The sequence below is a fragment of the Homo sapiens genome, chromosome 2 (assembly GCF_000001405.40).
Source record: "Homo sapiens chromosome 2, GRCh38.p14 Primary Assembly".
Lineage (NCBI taxonomy): Eukaryota > Metazoa > Chordata > Mammalia > Primates > Hominidae > Homo > Homo sapiens.
This window is the reverse complement of record NC_000002.12, coordinates 68,726,642-68,742,585: the sequence shown is the minus strand read 5'-3', so window position 1 is coordinate 68,742,585 and position 15,944 is coordinate 68,726,642. Positions and strand designations below refer to the sequence as shown.

At 42.9% G+C, this 15,944-nt stretch overlaps 1 protein-coding gene across 6 annotated transcripts in view, besides 1 other annotated feature; it reads right to left on the bottom strand.

The window, feature by feature from the left end:
- The window catches only part of ARHGAP25 (Rho GTPase activating protein 25), a 116,290-nt gene that overhangs the window by 84,248 nt on the left and 16,098 nt on the right, over window positions 1-15,944 (bottom strand). For 4 of the 6 annotated variants that reach the window (NM_001007231.3, NM_001364819.1, NM_001364820.1 and 1 more), the window contains exon 1: window positions 7,326-7,775. The exons of 1 other annotated variant lie outside the window; for it this stretch is intronic. In NM_001007231.3, coding sequence (NP_001007232.2) covers window positions 7,326-7,386 — 61 coding nt within the window. In that variant the 5' untranslated portion in view covers window positions 7,387-7,775. Of the gene's footprint in view, window positions 1-7,046; window positions 7,210-7,325; window positions 7,776-15,944 lie in introns of those variants that run through there. One more of the 6 variants, NM_001364821.1, reaches the window with a different exon arrangement.
- Window positions 2,781-3,010: an enhancer, noted in NCBI's record as "active region_15959". NCBI's record gives its function as "activates an Ori minimal core promoter by ATAC-STARR-seq in GM12878 lymphoblastoid cells {active_cell/tissue: GM12878}" and the evidence as "EXISTENCE:reporter gene assay evidence [ECO:0000049][PMID:35858748]".

Below are 15,944 nucleotides of genomic sequence, written 5' to 3'. Positions count from 1 at the left end.
ACACCAGCTCTTATGCTAAAGTTTGACATAGATCATCTTCTCTTACCCTCACAATAACTGCATGAGTTAGCACTAGGATTGCACTCATTTTACAGTTGGAAAACCTGAGGTCCAACGTCACACAGTGACCGATCGATGATACTGGGATTCAAATTCAGGCATTCTGGCCCCAAAGCCAGCTTTTTAACCACTGTATGATAGCTGGCTCATTCCATTATGGTTAGTTTACACTTTGTCAGAAAATTCTTTTTGTCAACTTTATAAAATTATTTTAAAATATTAAAAAGTATTCACATCACACTCAGGAACTCTATATCTTACTGCTTCCTCTTTCACTTTGAAACTCCAAACCAACAAGGAAGCAAATGGTTCAGCCACCATAGGCCAAAATTCCAGCAGTGGGGTATCGCAGCCCCATCCAGAGCTGAGATCCATGTGTGCATATTTTGGGGGTGGATGGATAGTACGGCGTGGAAAGGAGACAGTGCGGCAGCTGTCACCTTAGTCAGTCACAGCTTAAGGAGAATAGATGGTAGTAGCAAAGTTGAGCATCACTTTTAGAAAGGTGGAGGGGTGGTGAGGGGTGCTTGCAGCATGAGAGGCACAGCAGGGCAATGCTGCTTAAGTACCTCTCACATACAAGTGAGCAAATACATGTTTTATGATGAGTGACTCAATGAGTGCATGAAATGAAATGACTGGTCTGAATGTACTGAAGATTGCATAATTTTATGTAACTCTAGGTAAAGAATATGAGTGGTCATGGAATTGCGTTTTACTTTATGAACTAAAAGAAATAACTTTCAACATTTTAATATTCCTTGAACCTTTCTTAGATAAATTGCAATGCTCAGTCACTACTAAAAAGTAGGAAATCTGAAGCTGAGTGTGGTGGCTCATGCATATAATCCCAGCACTTTGGGAGACTGAGGCAGGAGGACTGCTTGGGCCCAGGAGTTCGAGACCAGCCTGGGCAACATAGTGAGACTCCCCCATCTATATTTTTAAATAATAACATTTTTTAAAGTATGGAAATTATTTGCAATGAACACATAAACTCTGATCAAAGACAAAGACTAAAAGTATGCTAATCAAATGGGCGTTAGAAGTTGTGACTCAGCTTCAAATTTAGCTCTGCTTCCTGGCAGCCAAGACAAAGAGGAGAACACAGTAAGTTGCACTCCTGTCTTACTAGAAAGGAGGAAGCACTGCAGTCCCTCAAAGAAGACAAAGTTATTTTCTGAGCACTGAATTCCCAAGCAACTTTCTCACATAGAGTTATACATAGAAGTTGCTGGCGTTCTCCATTCTTCATTCTCATTTTTCCAGTACAATTAGGAGCAGATTTCATGAAATCATTACTTGCAGGGAAGCTATAAACTGAAGATATAACATTAAAAGACAACTCAGTGAGCCCTATTCTGCGAGGGTAGCAAGATAATGTAATCCAAGTACAGCTTCTAGTCTGATCTGAGGTTGGAAATGAGACTGCCTATAAAGAAAGGAAAGAGATGTTTGCTGAGCACCTAATATATGTCATACGCATGAAATATTTTCTTCCTCTCAGCATATGTGTTACTCTCTCATTTGTAGAAGCTAAGCAACTTGCCCCAGATTCACTACTGCTTAAAGCAGAGTCCCAAGCTCATGCACACTTTCCTATATCACACGTCCTCCTTTCTTTCACAATTTTTATCAAGAAGAGTCAATGGACAATTTAGCCCCTTTCTTTGGGCAATCTGAGGTTATTCTCCCCAGTGAGGGCCTAGAGTGCTGGTGTTACATACCGTATTAAGAACAACTCATTTTGTTCAAAAGCCAAAGGATCAGTTACTTGTGGGGTTGACTCATATATGCATGTTCAGAAATGTTCATGGCTCTTATCTAAAAGGAAGTCCATAGTATTGAGAGCTGTAAACTTCTCTGTTTAAATGGCCTGGGAAAGGATTTTTATACTCTCTCTCCAGTGATCAGAAGACCTAGAGACTCCCCGTGGACAAGATGTTTACATTGTGACCAAAGCATGGGTAGGAACTGGTGGTGGTAAGGGAGACCCAGATGGAGAGAGGGCTCCAGGCAGATGAGAAAGAGCTGGAAGCTACAGAAGGGAGGATGTGGCTGAAGTCTCCAGTGTGCAGCAGGAGAAGGGAAGGTGGCAAGAGAGAGGTGGGCAGGTAAGAAGGGCCAGATCATAAAGACTTTCCATTTAATTCCTTCATGCAGAGGGTCTATACATAGTATAAAGCCTTCTGTTTCTCCAAAAAAGTAGATACAATGTGCAGGAAAATCACTGTGAGAAAGACAGCGAGTCTGGGGCCCCCTCAAGAACATCTGCACCTAGATCTTAAAGAAGGTGAATGGCAGTGATGGGAACAGGGGTGGTGGGGCCAGAATTCCTCTTAGGCACCATCTGGGACTCCCATAGCTGTTCTCATCATCACAGCACCTGTCTCACCGCTTTGCAGTTGTTTCCTTGTCTCTGCCCCCACTGAACTGTATGCCCTACAGGACTGTCTTCATATTTCATATTTAGCTCAGCTTCCTGGCAGCCAAGACAAAGAGAACACAGTAAGTTGCACTCCTGTCTTACTAGAAATGAGGAAGCACTGCAGTCCCTCAAAGAAGACAAAGTTATATTCTAGGTCTGCCAGACCTATGGGTATCATTTTTTTTTTCTTTGCAAAGTGACTTTTGGTTTTTAAACAAGCTTTCAAAGAGAAAAAGGATGATGAGTAAAGCATAACACAAAAAATGTCAATTATTTTCTCTCTTTGTAACTTTTGTATCTCAGTTCCTGTCTGGGGACTCTACAAAATTTCCATGCCATCCTCTGTGACAGAATCCCCACAATCTGCCTGTGCCTCGCTGTGGCTCTCCGTCATGCTCTTCCGGTACTATTTGGTCTCAATTGCTGTGGCCACCAGTGGGACTTTGCTTCTGCTCTTCACTCCCTCCCATGTCTTGTATCTTAACACAAGTTCAGACCACTCGACTGGGGTGCACCTTCATGCCAGATTCTTTCCTCAAGCTGCCTTGTGTGTGATAGGACCATTTTCATCAACTTACTTCTCTCAATTGGTCCCAGCATCTTTCCAACACCCCCATAGTGGGCCTTACTCAAAAGGATCACATTCCAGCTGGTGGAGTCTCCACAGAGTTCTCCCATTGGATGCTACATGAAGATGCTTCATAACTGTGAGGTGAGAGACAGGGAGATGGCAGCACTACCATTAATGAAGTGACTTATAGTGATGTATACCCACGCCAGGGCCATTGGGCATCTTAACCCTGGCCTAGTTTCAGACACATAGGCAATAAGAACCATCAAGCTAGCCTCTGCCAATCCAAGTGCACAGTCTCAGACAAAGTACAGAATCTAAGCTGACCTCATCTGGCATGTACAGGGGGAATTTTGTGCATGAGTGGATATAAAACCAGGTCCTGTTTTCCCATCACCACTTAGGTTGGTCCCCACTCTGCTGCTGCTGCAGAAGGCCCAGAGGTGACATCAGTCCTTTTTCCTCAAATGGCCAGAAGGCTGTTGGCCTGGGCAACAGGAAGCATGCACTTCGTGGAGAGAATTTAATTTATGCCTAAATGTTAAGTCAACAGCAACATTACGGACAGACATTTTTACTTAAATAACCAATGGCAATGTAACCTCTGCATAAAAATAGAGTGGGCCCTGGAAGGAACAGCTCCCTTGTGTAGCTGTTCACTGTCTACAGAAGGCCATGTTCATATTCTTTTTTTTTTTTTTTTCTTGAGACAGAGTCTTGCTCTGTCGCCCAAGCTGGAGTGCAGTGGCATGATCGTGGCTCACTACAACCTCCGCCTCCCGGATTCAAGCAATTATCCTGCCTCAGCCTCCCAAGTAGCTGGGATTACAGGTGCCCGCCACCATGCCCAGCTAATTTTTTGTATTTTTAGCAGTGACTCTACTTGCATGTGTGGGGACCTTTATCTATCGGGGACCTTTATCTATCAGGGACCGGAGGCTACTCATGGAAAGCAAATACTTTGGGCACAGCAAACAGACCACATTCAGTCCATAACCCAGGCTGGTCTGGTTAGCATATAGTAAGTTTGGTAATGAATTGTAAAGAAAGCACTCACCACTTTCTGATGTTCAGAAAGCTGAACATCAAACAAACACAAATCAGTTCACCATGGGCTATATAGTTTCAGGATTCTCCTGAAACTGGGGAACCAGCATTTCAGTGTTCAAATAAGGTACAAAATGTGCTCAAGTAGACTGGCCTGGTCATTGGGAAGCCATGTAACTCTTTCAAGAAAGCCCTGTAACCTGGGGCTGGAGGTCCAGAAAGTCTGGACCTGTCCTCCAGTGATGACAATTCAGTTAAAAAGGCAAAATATTTGAGTAACTGCGTGAAGGCAGTGAAAGGCTGTCATGATTCTAAAATTGAAAATGATAAAGGATCACAGGAAGAAGTGTGTGCTCTTGGCTCCACCTCAAGTCAAGACTGTTTGTTCTGCATTTTCCTTTTTCTTCCAACCCCTATTCCTGCCAGGATCAATAGGTCAGATTCAGGAAGTTCTGTGACTTTTCTTCATCACTGCATGAAAATCTGTCAGACTCATGGTAGTGGACTCAGGTGAGTCTGCCATCCAGCAAGACCCTCTTCAGCTCTGAGATGGAAGTACAGTGGAGAGTCCCTCCCCTCGCTCTCAGAGACTTTCACTTTCACTCCAGCTCACAAGATTCTGGGGAAACTGGAAGCATAGCTCATCAAAAAAAGCTAGGGCCCCTTTCCTGGGTCACATTCTGGGTCAGTGTCTTGCTATTTCACCAAGGGCCCATTCTAGTGTCCTTCCTAAGCTATGGCCTGGCTCCCTGAGGACAGATCTCAATAAAAGCCTCCAAAAAATTGAGCTACAGAGTGAATCATGAGTTAATATTTGGGTTCTAGTCCCAAATGACCTTATATTCCACCCTTTTGGTGATCATCTACTCCAGGAGTTCTCAATTAGAGAAGATATTACCCTCACCCCCATCCCCAAGGAACACTTGGCTATATGTAAAGACAGTTTTATTTGTCACAACTGGTAGTGGTAGGGGGGTGTTACCATCACCTAGAAGGTAGAGGCCAAGGATTCTGCTAAACATCCTATAATTCACAGGACAGGCCCCACAACAAAAAACTATCCAACCCCAAATGTCAATGGTATCTAGGTTGAGAAAACGTTAAAACCACAGATTGTCAGCTTTCCTGACATAACTCCCAGTTCCACAGGTCTTCCCAATAGAGGTAAGTTTCTTTGATATATTGGTAAGCCAGTTCCTACAGTTACACCTGGACACAGGATGCTGGAGAGGGGACTGGAAGTCCTGTGACTGAGTCAAGGGCTCTCCCCCATCAGAGGACTCAGATTATGATCTGAATTCTAGTTCATGTGACACTTATAAATGCATCCTACTGTAGTCCAGTCCTTCAGGGTGACAAACTTATAGATAGCATGGATAATGACAAGGGCTCCTCTGTATTTCATTATGTCCTTATTATTATTTTTTCATTAAGTAATACTAAATAACATCATCTGCTTGTTTTTGTTGGCTGAAGCATTCATTCAGCCAACAAATATTTATTGTGTGCCCAGTTAAGAACAAGCACTGTGCCCTATACTAAATGGGTGAAAACTGTCTGCTGGGGCTAGTGAACATAGACCACAGTACCTACAGCAGGAATTCTTCCTCAGGTGAGGATGAAAGTGGGGGGTGCTTGTCAAAATGCAGGATCCTGGGCCTTCCTCCAGAGATTCTGATTTTGTAAGGATGGTGCCCAGAAATCTGCATTTTTAGCCAGCACTTGATGTGAGTCTGATATAGGTTATCTATGGGACCATGCTTTAAGAAACATTGGTAAAAATCATGAAATTCACTCAATCAAATCCCAGACCTGAGTATATGCAGTCTTGAGCTCTAGTGTGGTAATTTCCTATATCTGTGAAAAAAATCATTTAACTATTAATTGTCTCAACTTTCTTGTTTTTTAAACCAAAGGAGAGTAAGACCCTAATAACCTGTGTTCAAACATAGGTGGAGAGAAGGCAGAATGACCTTATTTATGTAGAAGCAGGACACTTTCAAAGGAACAGAACCATATAATTTGTATGACATAGATTGAGCATTAGCCAAGTACATTTGTATCAATGATAGTTAGGAGGAAAATCTCTTGCTTTTGTAAGAGGTATGAACATTACCTTTTCTCTGAACTGACCTCAGCATACAATCATTCACAGCTTGATTAGGGAACGCTAATCTCCCCTAGTTATCAAGATAAATGGCTTCTCTGATTACTCTGTTTTCTTTCAAACCCTTTCTCAGACCTACATCATTAATGCTCCGCTTGTGACTTTTCAATGGAGCACTTATTTTAGTAGCACACTTAACCCCATTAGAGGTTCAAATCTAAACCTTTTTCCAAGCAAAATTCCTCCAAGCTGTTAGAAACACCTTAATACTTATCTATATCTAATATCAAGGAAGTTATCTCATGTATGGGTGAGATACATAAATGTAGGCAATAGTTTTCAGCCCGATTGCTCTGATGTGAATTACTGTGACCAATTTAGCAATAGAAGAAATCTATGTAAAGAACTTCATAACGAATATATAGATTAAACTTAATGTATCACTATCATCATTAGAAGGACAGGGTATGGATTAAAGGCCAGACTATCTCAGAAAATATGCCAGTCTCCCTTAAAATAATAAAAAATACATCTCTTTTCCAACTCATCTAAGAATTCCCTCCCATTCTGTTCCTTTAATTATATTTTTATTAAGTAAGGTCTTTATTATACTTTAGTACGTTTTTATGTTCCTGTCTTGTTTTTGTTGTCTACCTTTTGCTACTACCTTTTAATACACCTTGACTCCTGGGCTCACAAAACAGAACACCCATTGAATTTACTTACAGATTGAGCACTTCAAAAGACTCTAGTCTTTGTGCTCCTGTTCAGAACCATTCAAAATATGGATGAGTTTCCAAACAGGAAGGAAATGGAATATGCTAAAAACTCACAGTTTTGTGTGTAGTCTGTAGCCTTAAATCATCCGAAGTACCCCAGATCCTGCACACCAAGGAGTGCCATCCCACTGTTTTGTCCAAATGAAAGAGAACCCCCTCCCAGCATTTTAGAACTTGGACCTGGCATGCCAACTTAAATGCAAATGGTCCCTCAAACTCAGATTTGCTGCGAGATCCATTTTTAAGTAGACTATGCTCCCTGCAGACCAACATGCAAATGGTGCTCGAGTATACGTAAGAATCACAGAGGCAACGAAAAGACACCAACCATACCTATTTTCGCAGCCTCCACTTTCAGGTTGAAATCCCAGTTCCTTGGCAATTTTAGGGACATTTTGCTTCCAGTTTAAGTGAGTAGTTAGTGAAGCGGTGAGTCTGTCACAGTTTGCGCCCTTCTTGTCTTTTCACTCTTTCCCTCTGTTTTTGTGTCTGTTTTTGTTCCTCCTTATGATTGCTTCACAAGCAATCTTAGGCTTGAGGCTGATTTGCCAACGTGTCTCCTCCTTTCTCTTAGATGAAAGGTCCATCCATCTGTCACTGGAGGATGGCACCCAAACTCCCCCAGCCTCCACCCTCAGTCCCACAGGGGCTAGCACCCTGCTTTTCTTGCTTTCAGTTTTACCAGAAATATCCCAGTTGACACTTCCCTCTGCGTCATGGGAAGCAAAGCTCCTTTTCGAAAGAATCTCAGGCCTTACTGAGTTGAGGTCGTGATAAACAACTGCTGCCTCTTGGTTTTGTGTGTGTGTGTGTGTGTTTCTTTTTTAACTGTCTGCTTCCTTGCATTTGAGGAAGTGGGTGGCTGTTCAGTGAAGATGATACATTATGAGCACTCTTTCTTGAGAAAATGGTTTTTGGAAATGCTTGAAAAACCAGAATGGTTGCTTCTGTTATAAAAGATTACAGTTTTAATTAGAAGAAAATGTCGAAACTCCCATCATCTACTTCAACTCTAAGCTCTCCTCTTCCTCACCTAACGGATCAAGCATCCAAAAATGGTCAGAAAAACAACAAGCATTCCCCCAAAGTTATCTTCTTTTAAATTCTTCCTGCTGTAAGGACCATGTCGCAAGCTCTCCAGGTGCTCAGGATAAAGTTTGCAAGTGATCTCAGCCTGATGTAGGGAGGGTTTTGATGTATTTGGCTTAATGAAGCAACTTAAGCTAGGTCGACCCACTCACATATCCTAAGGGTTCTTTGGCATTGTACACAGGGTGTGGGCTTTAGAATCAGGGTGTGTGGGCTGTATACATGGTGTGGGCTTCCATTTGCTAGCTCTTCAACTTTTGAACAAGCAACTGAATCTTTCCAGACCTTAATGTCCTCATCAGTAAAATGGGGTTGATAATAACCACAACTCAAAGGGTTTTTGCAGAGGAATCTAGTGCAGAGCTTGACACAGAGTGGTTGCACCACACACATTAATTCAACCTTTATTCTATTCTATTTAGTTCAGTTCTGTGACAAGCTTTCATGTTTAACTGGGTCAGCCTAACCTAGTGCTTAAGCATTTGGGCCCTGGAAACAGATCACTGGTAGTCAAATCCTGGCTTTCCTGCTGTGGGACTATGGACAAGTTTCTTGACCACTTTGTGCTTCAATTCTTATCTGTAGATGGGGCAAATAATAGGGCTTACTTCATAGGCTGTTGTGAGGCTTTAGTAGAAAAGCCAGTACAAAGTGCTCAGAACAGTCACTGCTAGCCAGCATCTAAGCTGCACGCCTTGCTCCATTCATTCTCCAACTCTCCTAGATGACTCTGTCATACTTTCTTCTTCACCTGCCACTTGCTTACTCTTACTGACGACCTGGGTTCCCGTTTCATTGAGAAAATCAATGTAACTGAAAGAGAATGTCCACAAGCTTCCCTCACTCTATCTGCTCACCTACCTGCATGCAAGCTGTATCCCTGACCTTATTCTTGGTACAATGGGTGAACTGGCTGTTAACACTCTCCCATCCCTATTGCATCATCAATTTCTTCTCTCTCTTTGATCCTTCCTGTCAGCGTTCAAACTTACTATTTTTTATCCCATAAAAAATCTCTCTGGATGCCACCACCCCCTTGGGCTAGAGTCCCATTTCTCTCCTTCATTTCTGAACCAAGCTTTAGTAAGAATTGTCTAACTTGCAAATATCTCTCCTCTTATTCTCTCCCGAATCCCTTGGTTGATGTTTTTGCCCCTATGACTCCACAAAATATATTCTCATCAAGGATACCTACGACTTCCCTGTCACTAAACTCACAGGTCAGGGCTTCATCTTCATCTCACGGGCCCATCAGCAGTGTCGGACACATTTGATAGCTCTCTCCAACTCTGAGCCCTCTGTCCATGGGGCTCCCACGGCCCATGGTTGGCCTGGCTGTCTGCCTGCCTTTCTGGCTTTTCCGTGTCTGTTTTCTTGCTGATTCCTTCTCATCTCTCTGACCTCTAAATATTGAAGGAAACCAAGACTCGACTGGACTCTTTTTCCATCCACACTCACACCTTGGTGAGCTCATCTGTCTCAAGGCTTTAAATGTCACATATTTGCAGATGATTCCAATGTGTATTTCCAGCCCAGACCCCCTGAACTCCAAATCACATGGATCTCTGCTTAGATCTATAGTAGCCATCTCAAACTAAATGTATCCAAACTGTATATCCAGAGAACGAGGCTGAAGGAACAGTGGTGACCTGGTGTATACTCCTGTCTTCAGGAATGAAAGGAGCACAAGAGAGAAGAACCTTGCAAGCGCATTTAACGCCTCTGCGCACACCCTGTCTGCTCACATTCCATTGGCCAACACAGGTCACATGGCCAAGCTCAAAGTCAGTGAGGCCGGAAGTACACCCAGTCCTCAGCAGCAGTGGGGAGGGAGAAGGGCCGGAGGGGTGGAAGAAGGGCCGGAGTGTTTGCTGATCAAGACTCCAATCCACCACACTCACCCAGTCTACCCAGCTACCCTCCAGCCTCCCCAGGGAGCTGGATTCCGCTGAACTTGACTCAGCTACTTGGAGACATTGCACTACTGCCTGCCTGACCCAAACACCACTGCTCTTTTTCGTATCCCAACTTAATTAAGCGGGTGTGAGAGAGGTAGCTGTCTGGCCCGGCCCAGCAGCATCTCCACGGGGGAATTCGACACCATCTAAAATTTCAGTCCTGGGACCTTTAAACTGAGGAATGTTGAAAATATTTTGAAGGTGTCATTAAGAAACACGCAGGGAACTTCCTTTACTTTTCAGGGTAGGTTCCTGTCAGTCTTGGAAAAACTCGTGACCCATGGGGGAAGTTAGTTGTGCAGATGCGGAAAGGCAATCAGATGGAAAGCACACTCCCCACAAGGGCCCAACACAGCAGCCTTCCCCCACCACAGAGCTCTCTCTCGGTCAGTCAACTGGGTACTGCGCTCCCTCTCTCTGATCTTCATAAAATGAAGAGCCAAATGCCTTGCCTGGTCCCAAAGTTTGAATTAGCATCTGCAGTAGCGCAAGCAAACATTGTTCCATCTGTTGGCTTGTTGAATGATAAGCGGATTTATTAAGGACCAAATTTTTGCTGGACATTGGAAGAACGTTCGTGAACAAGCAGACGTGTTTTCTGCTTCCCCACCTCACCGCCCTGACACCGGCTGTTGTCTCTTACAGTCTGTTGGGGGAGAAGAACAATTAAGTGAACGATTAAATACAGTGTGAGAGAGCTATGTTGGGGAAAGTGTAGGGAGCTAGGGGGGGTGTATATGCGAGGGGCCTAACTGGACTTGGGGAGTGAAGGAAGGGTTCCTGGAAGAAGTGTCTTTTAAAGTAAGGCTTGACAAATGAGTTAGGGAGGCAAGGGGGTTGGAAAAAGGATTCCAGACAAAACCAACAATATGAATGAGGCACGGAGAGAAGAAAGTTCTTCAGGTCGCTCCTAAGAAGGATGAAAGGGGTGGGGCTGAGGAGAAACGAAGCTGGAGAGATAGTCAGGGCTGAGCAGGGCTGGATCACACAGGGCAGGTAAACCTTGACAAAGAGTTCTGACTGTATCCTGGGGAAAACGGAGGTCACTAGGGAGTTTTCAACAGGATAGGGGTGAGGAGGCTGTGGCAGATATCTAAGAGAGAGGAAGAGTGAGGGAGAGAGGTCGGCAGCATGGGCATGGAAAGAAGGGAAAACAACACAGGAGTCATGTGAGTGACAGAATTGATAGCCCCAGGAGAATTATTACAGCAGAAAAAAGAGGCACCCAAGATCCCAGCTCGTCACTGGAAGGGTGTAGTTCCAATCACAGAGATGGGGCACGCACAAAAACAGTGAGGATTGGTAATGAGGAACAAGGAGAAAACGGTGGGCTTAGTTTGGGGCATGTTGATTTAGGGACCCAAGGGGCACTTGAGTGCAGATCTTCTGCACTCAAGGCTCATGTGAGCCTAGAGCTCAAACAGACTCATTCATTCATTCACTCGTTTACTCCATAAACATTTGTACAGGCCTGCGTTGGATGCTGATTAAACAAGAAGGATGATTAAGAACCCAGCCTAATCCTCCAATGAGTCATGAGAGAGAAGTGTAAACTTGCCGTGCAAGATACAAAAATAGTGCATGCACAGGGTAAAGTGGGAGCAGGAAATGGTTCCCTCTGCTTGGGTGGCATCCCAGGAAAGGCGACCCATGAGACAATAGTCAGGAAGCCAGGTGGGGGAGTGAGAGGAGAACGCTCCAGGCAAATGAAATGGCAGATCGCTGTGAAAACACAAATACGGCCCCCATTTAGGGAAGTATCAGAAATGATGTATGGCCCCCAAAGATGCCCCATACCCACTAGTTGAAGTTGCAGGAGCTGCTGGGGCCAGGGTCTGATGCACTTGCTGAAGGGTTGGACTCTAGCCTGAGGAGAACTTTTTTTTTTTTTTTTTCTGAGACAGGGTCTCACTCTGTCAACCAGGCTGGAGTGCAGTGACACAATCATGGCTCACTGCAGCCTCAACCTCCTGGGCTTAAGCAATCCTCACGCCTTGGCCTATGGAGCAGGTGGGACTGCAAGCTTTCACTACCATGCCCGGCTAATTTTTTAAAAACTCGTTCTGTAGAGATGGGGGTCTCACTATGTTGCCCAGGCTGGTCTCAAGCTCCTGGGTTCAAGTGATCCTTCTGCCTTGGCCTCCAAAGTGCTGAGATTACAGACATAAGCCACTGTGTCCAGCCTGGAGAACTCTTAAAACATCTTTCGTTATTATTTTTACCATTACAGAAGTCCGTGCATAATCACCATACAAGTGTTTTAAAAGCAAAAAGAAAATAAAAATCATTGTTACCACTTAATGTGTAATAAGAACTTTTCCCATTCTTGGTTTCCTACTTCTCCCTCACCTTCTACTCATGTGTACATGTAATATATGTATGTATGCATGTATTGTAAATTTTTTAAATGGTGCATATGCTGTCTTATAAACCGTTATCTTCCTTTAACAAAAAAAAGTCATGAAAAAGTATCTGTCATTAAGCATTTTTCCAAAACATCATCAGTGGCCTCATGATTTTTAATTATATGATGAGAGCAAAATTAATTTAACAAATCCCTGTGTCATTGAGCATTGGAGATATGCATAAATTTTCATAATATTCTTATAGCTAAATATCTGGATAAATCTAGTCCTTTTCCCCCCTCAGGGGGAATTCTTAGAGATAGAAATGCTGGGAAAGTGAATAAGAATATACTTATACTAAGGTTTGCTATGTGCTCTCAAATTGCTAAATCACTGAATTGTACACTTTGATGGGTGAATTGCATGGTATGTGAATTATGTATCAATAAAGCTCATAAAAAAACAAGCAGTCAGGTGAAGAACAAACATGAAAAAGTTCTACGGTTTATGTTTCCATTAACAATATATGTAGGGCCCAGTTCCCTCAGAGCCTCACTAACAGTTGGCATTATCATTGCTTTTATTATAAATCATTTTCAGTTGAATAAGCAAATACTTTTTTTATTAAATAGTGGAACTAAAGTTATTTTTTAATGTGTTTATTGGGCATTTGTAAGGGTTGGATGTGTCTAGGTGTCGATGTGTCTGAGTGATTTTGCAAGGAATCAGTGCAGGGGGAGTTTCTTATATCTTTATTTCTGATTTGCAGCCCACTGGCTCTAGGATCTTCTTCAGGAGCATCAGTTATCTGCATGTTAGCTCTCCACTCTGTCACTTCCTTGTCTTTCATTTTGTCATCTCTGTTACTGTTATCTGCATTTGAAGACAGTTTCTCATGTTTGTTCTTCACCTGACTGCTTGTTTTTTATGAGCTGTATTGATACATAATTCACATACCATGCAATTCACCCATCAAAGTGTACAATTCAGTGATCTAGTACATTCAGAGTTGTGCAACCATTGCCACAATCAACTGTAGAACACTTTCATCTTCCACAAAAGAAACTCCATACCCATTAGCAGACCCTCCTCATTTTCCCCAGCACTAGGCAACCACTTTATGTCTCTATAGATTTGTGTATGGACAAAGGTGTCTGTTCTGGACATTTCACATAATGAAGTCATATACTGTAATATGTGGTCTTTTGTGACCGGCTTCTTTCCCTTTGCATGTTTTGAAGTTTCATTCATATTGCAGCATGTATCAGAACTTTATTTCTTTTCATGGCCAAATAATATTCCATTGTGTGGATAGATCAAATTTTGTTTATCTGTTCATTTAGTGGATGGACATTTGGATTGTTTCCAGGTTTTGGCTATTATGAAAAATGATGCTATGAACATTTGTGCACAAGTTTTTTAAATTTTATTTATTTATTTATTTACTTATGTTTACTTATATTACTTATAAAGATTGGAGTCTCACTATGTTGCCCAGGCTGGTCTCAAACTTCTGGGCTCAAGTGATTCTCCTGCCTCAGCCTCTCAAAGTGCTGGAATTACAGGTGTGAGCCACCATGCCTGGCCTTGTGCACAAGTTTTATAAACTATTATCTTCCCCTGACAAAATGGCATTATCATTGCTTTTATTAAAAATTATTTTCAATTGAATAAGCAAGTTTTTTTTTTATTAAAAAATCATCTCTCTTGGGTATGGGCATAGCAGTGGAATTTCTGGGTTATATGGTGACTTTATGTTTAAATTTTTGAGGAACCACCAAAATGTTTTACAAAGTAGCTGCACCATTTTACATTTCCACCAGAAATGTATGAGGGTTTCATTTTTTTCCACGTATTCCCCAACACTTGTTATCATCAGTCTTTTTTTATTTTAGCCATTCTAGTGGATGGTTAGGATGAAATGTTATTATCTCATTGGGGTTTTGATTTGCATTTCCCTGATGACTAATGATGTTAAGCATCTTTTCATTTGCTTATTGGCTGGTTTGGTTTTCCAAAGCAGAATTCCTGCTTCGTGAAACATCCGATGATGTAGTCCCACTGAACCTGCATTTCCTCAAGACCACATCCAGCTAAAACTCAAGCCTTCAACTTTGACTGAAACTTTCCTACTTTTGCCTTATTTCCATTTAATCTTTCTGATGTACATTGTACTCAGTATCATTTCAAATTTCCAGCAGACTTTTTTCTATGTACTTCAGCTGCATTTCCCCTACCCCTTGCCTAGTTCTCTAGAACTTTTAAGTGATGCTGTGCATGAAAAGGCAGTCACATCTTTCTAGGAGTGATTAGATCTGCTGAAGAGAGTCACTTGTCACCAGATCTCTCCCTCTCCTTCTCCATCGAGCTCTCCAGGTTGTGGTTGTCACCGTCATCCCTCATTACCATGATGGTTGTAGCTGTTGTTTTCTGCAGGGATTTAAAACAATGCCTGGGCAGGGGAATGGAGCAATCCTATTCCAGCTGCCTCACGGATGAGCATCAGATAAATGGATGGAGGGAGAGGCAGAAATCAGTTTTCTGAACTTGACATAGTTTGGGTCAGAGTGAAGAACAGACTCCAGGAGAGTCAGAAGGTGAGGGTCTACCTTTGTCAGGAGGTCCCTGGCCATGGCACAAAGCCGGGGGAGGTTTCTCTGAACACAGGCCTTTGTGAAGTAGGGTGATGCCCTGTTAATCAGCAGATGGAAGCTCCGCAGAGGCAGACCCTCTGAGGCAGATCAAGTGCCCTAAATTGGCACAAACCTTTACATTCCTGGGAGACTGTGCCAGGTGCTATTGTGGTCACACTTGTATTGATATTTTCCTTCTAATAGATTTAAGAAGAAAAGCATAATACTTTTTGTACCCACATCTTAACCAAAAGTGAGGGGAAAAAAAGATGGCCTGAAGTCAAGCAGATTGGGAGGAAACACATTTCTTTGTGGCCGTGAGTCAGCCAGTTTCACTCGCTTGTATTTCCCACCTGGCTCGTGCAGGCATTTGAACGTGGGCCCCCGTGTTGCAGACGCACTCAACCAGTAACCACGCTTTTAGCAAATACTAAGTGCATAGGCCGGATGGCTGTATCTTGTGGTCTTGACTGACAGATGCCTCAGCATGTACGTCCTGGAATATAGCATTTGGAGACACCAAACGTAAAGATCTTTTTTATTTGGATTTTAATAGTCTATATCTTTTTAAAAGCTGTATTTACAAGGCACAAAATTAAGGTTTTATTCCCATTCCCTTGGGTATATGGAAAAAAAACAGAAAGGAAAAGAAAAAAAAAAGATTTGTGCAATAGGACTATGCCTTTTTGCAAGCTCAGCAGAGGCAGACCTGGCAGAGGAAGAGATTTCTGGGCTCTGAACACTCTGTGTGAGCCCAGTGGATGGGGTGCAGGCTCCTGGGCTCAGACCACAGAGGCTTGTTCCTCCCAGCCCTGAGCAGTCAGTTGGAGGCACCTCCTCTCGTTACTGATGTCACCTTTGCCAAGGTCCCTGGCATTGGATCTGATGTCTGGCTACAGTTTGATAGTCTATTGATCTTTATTTTTT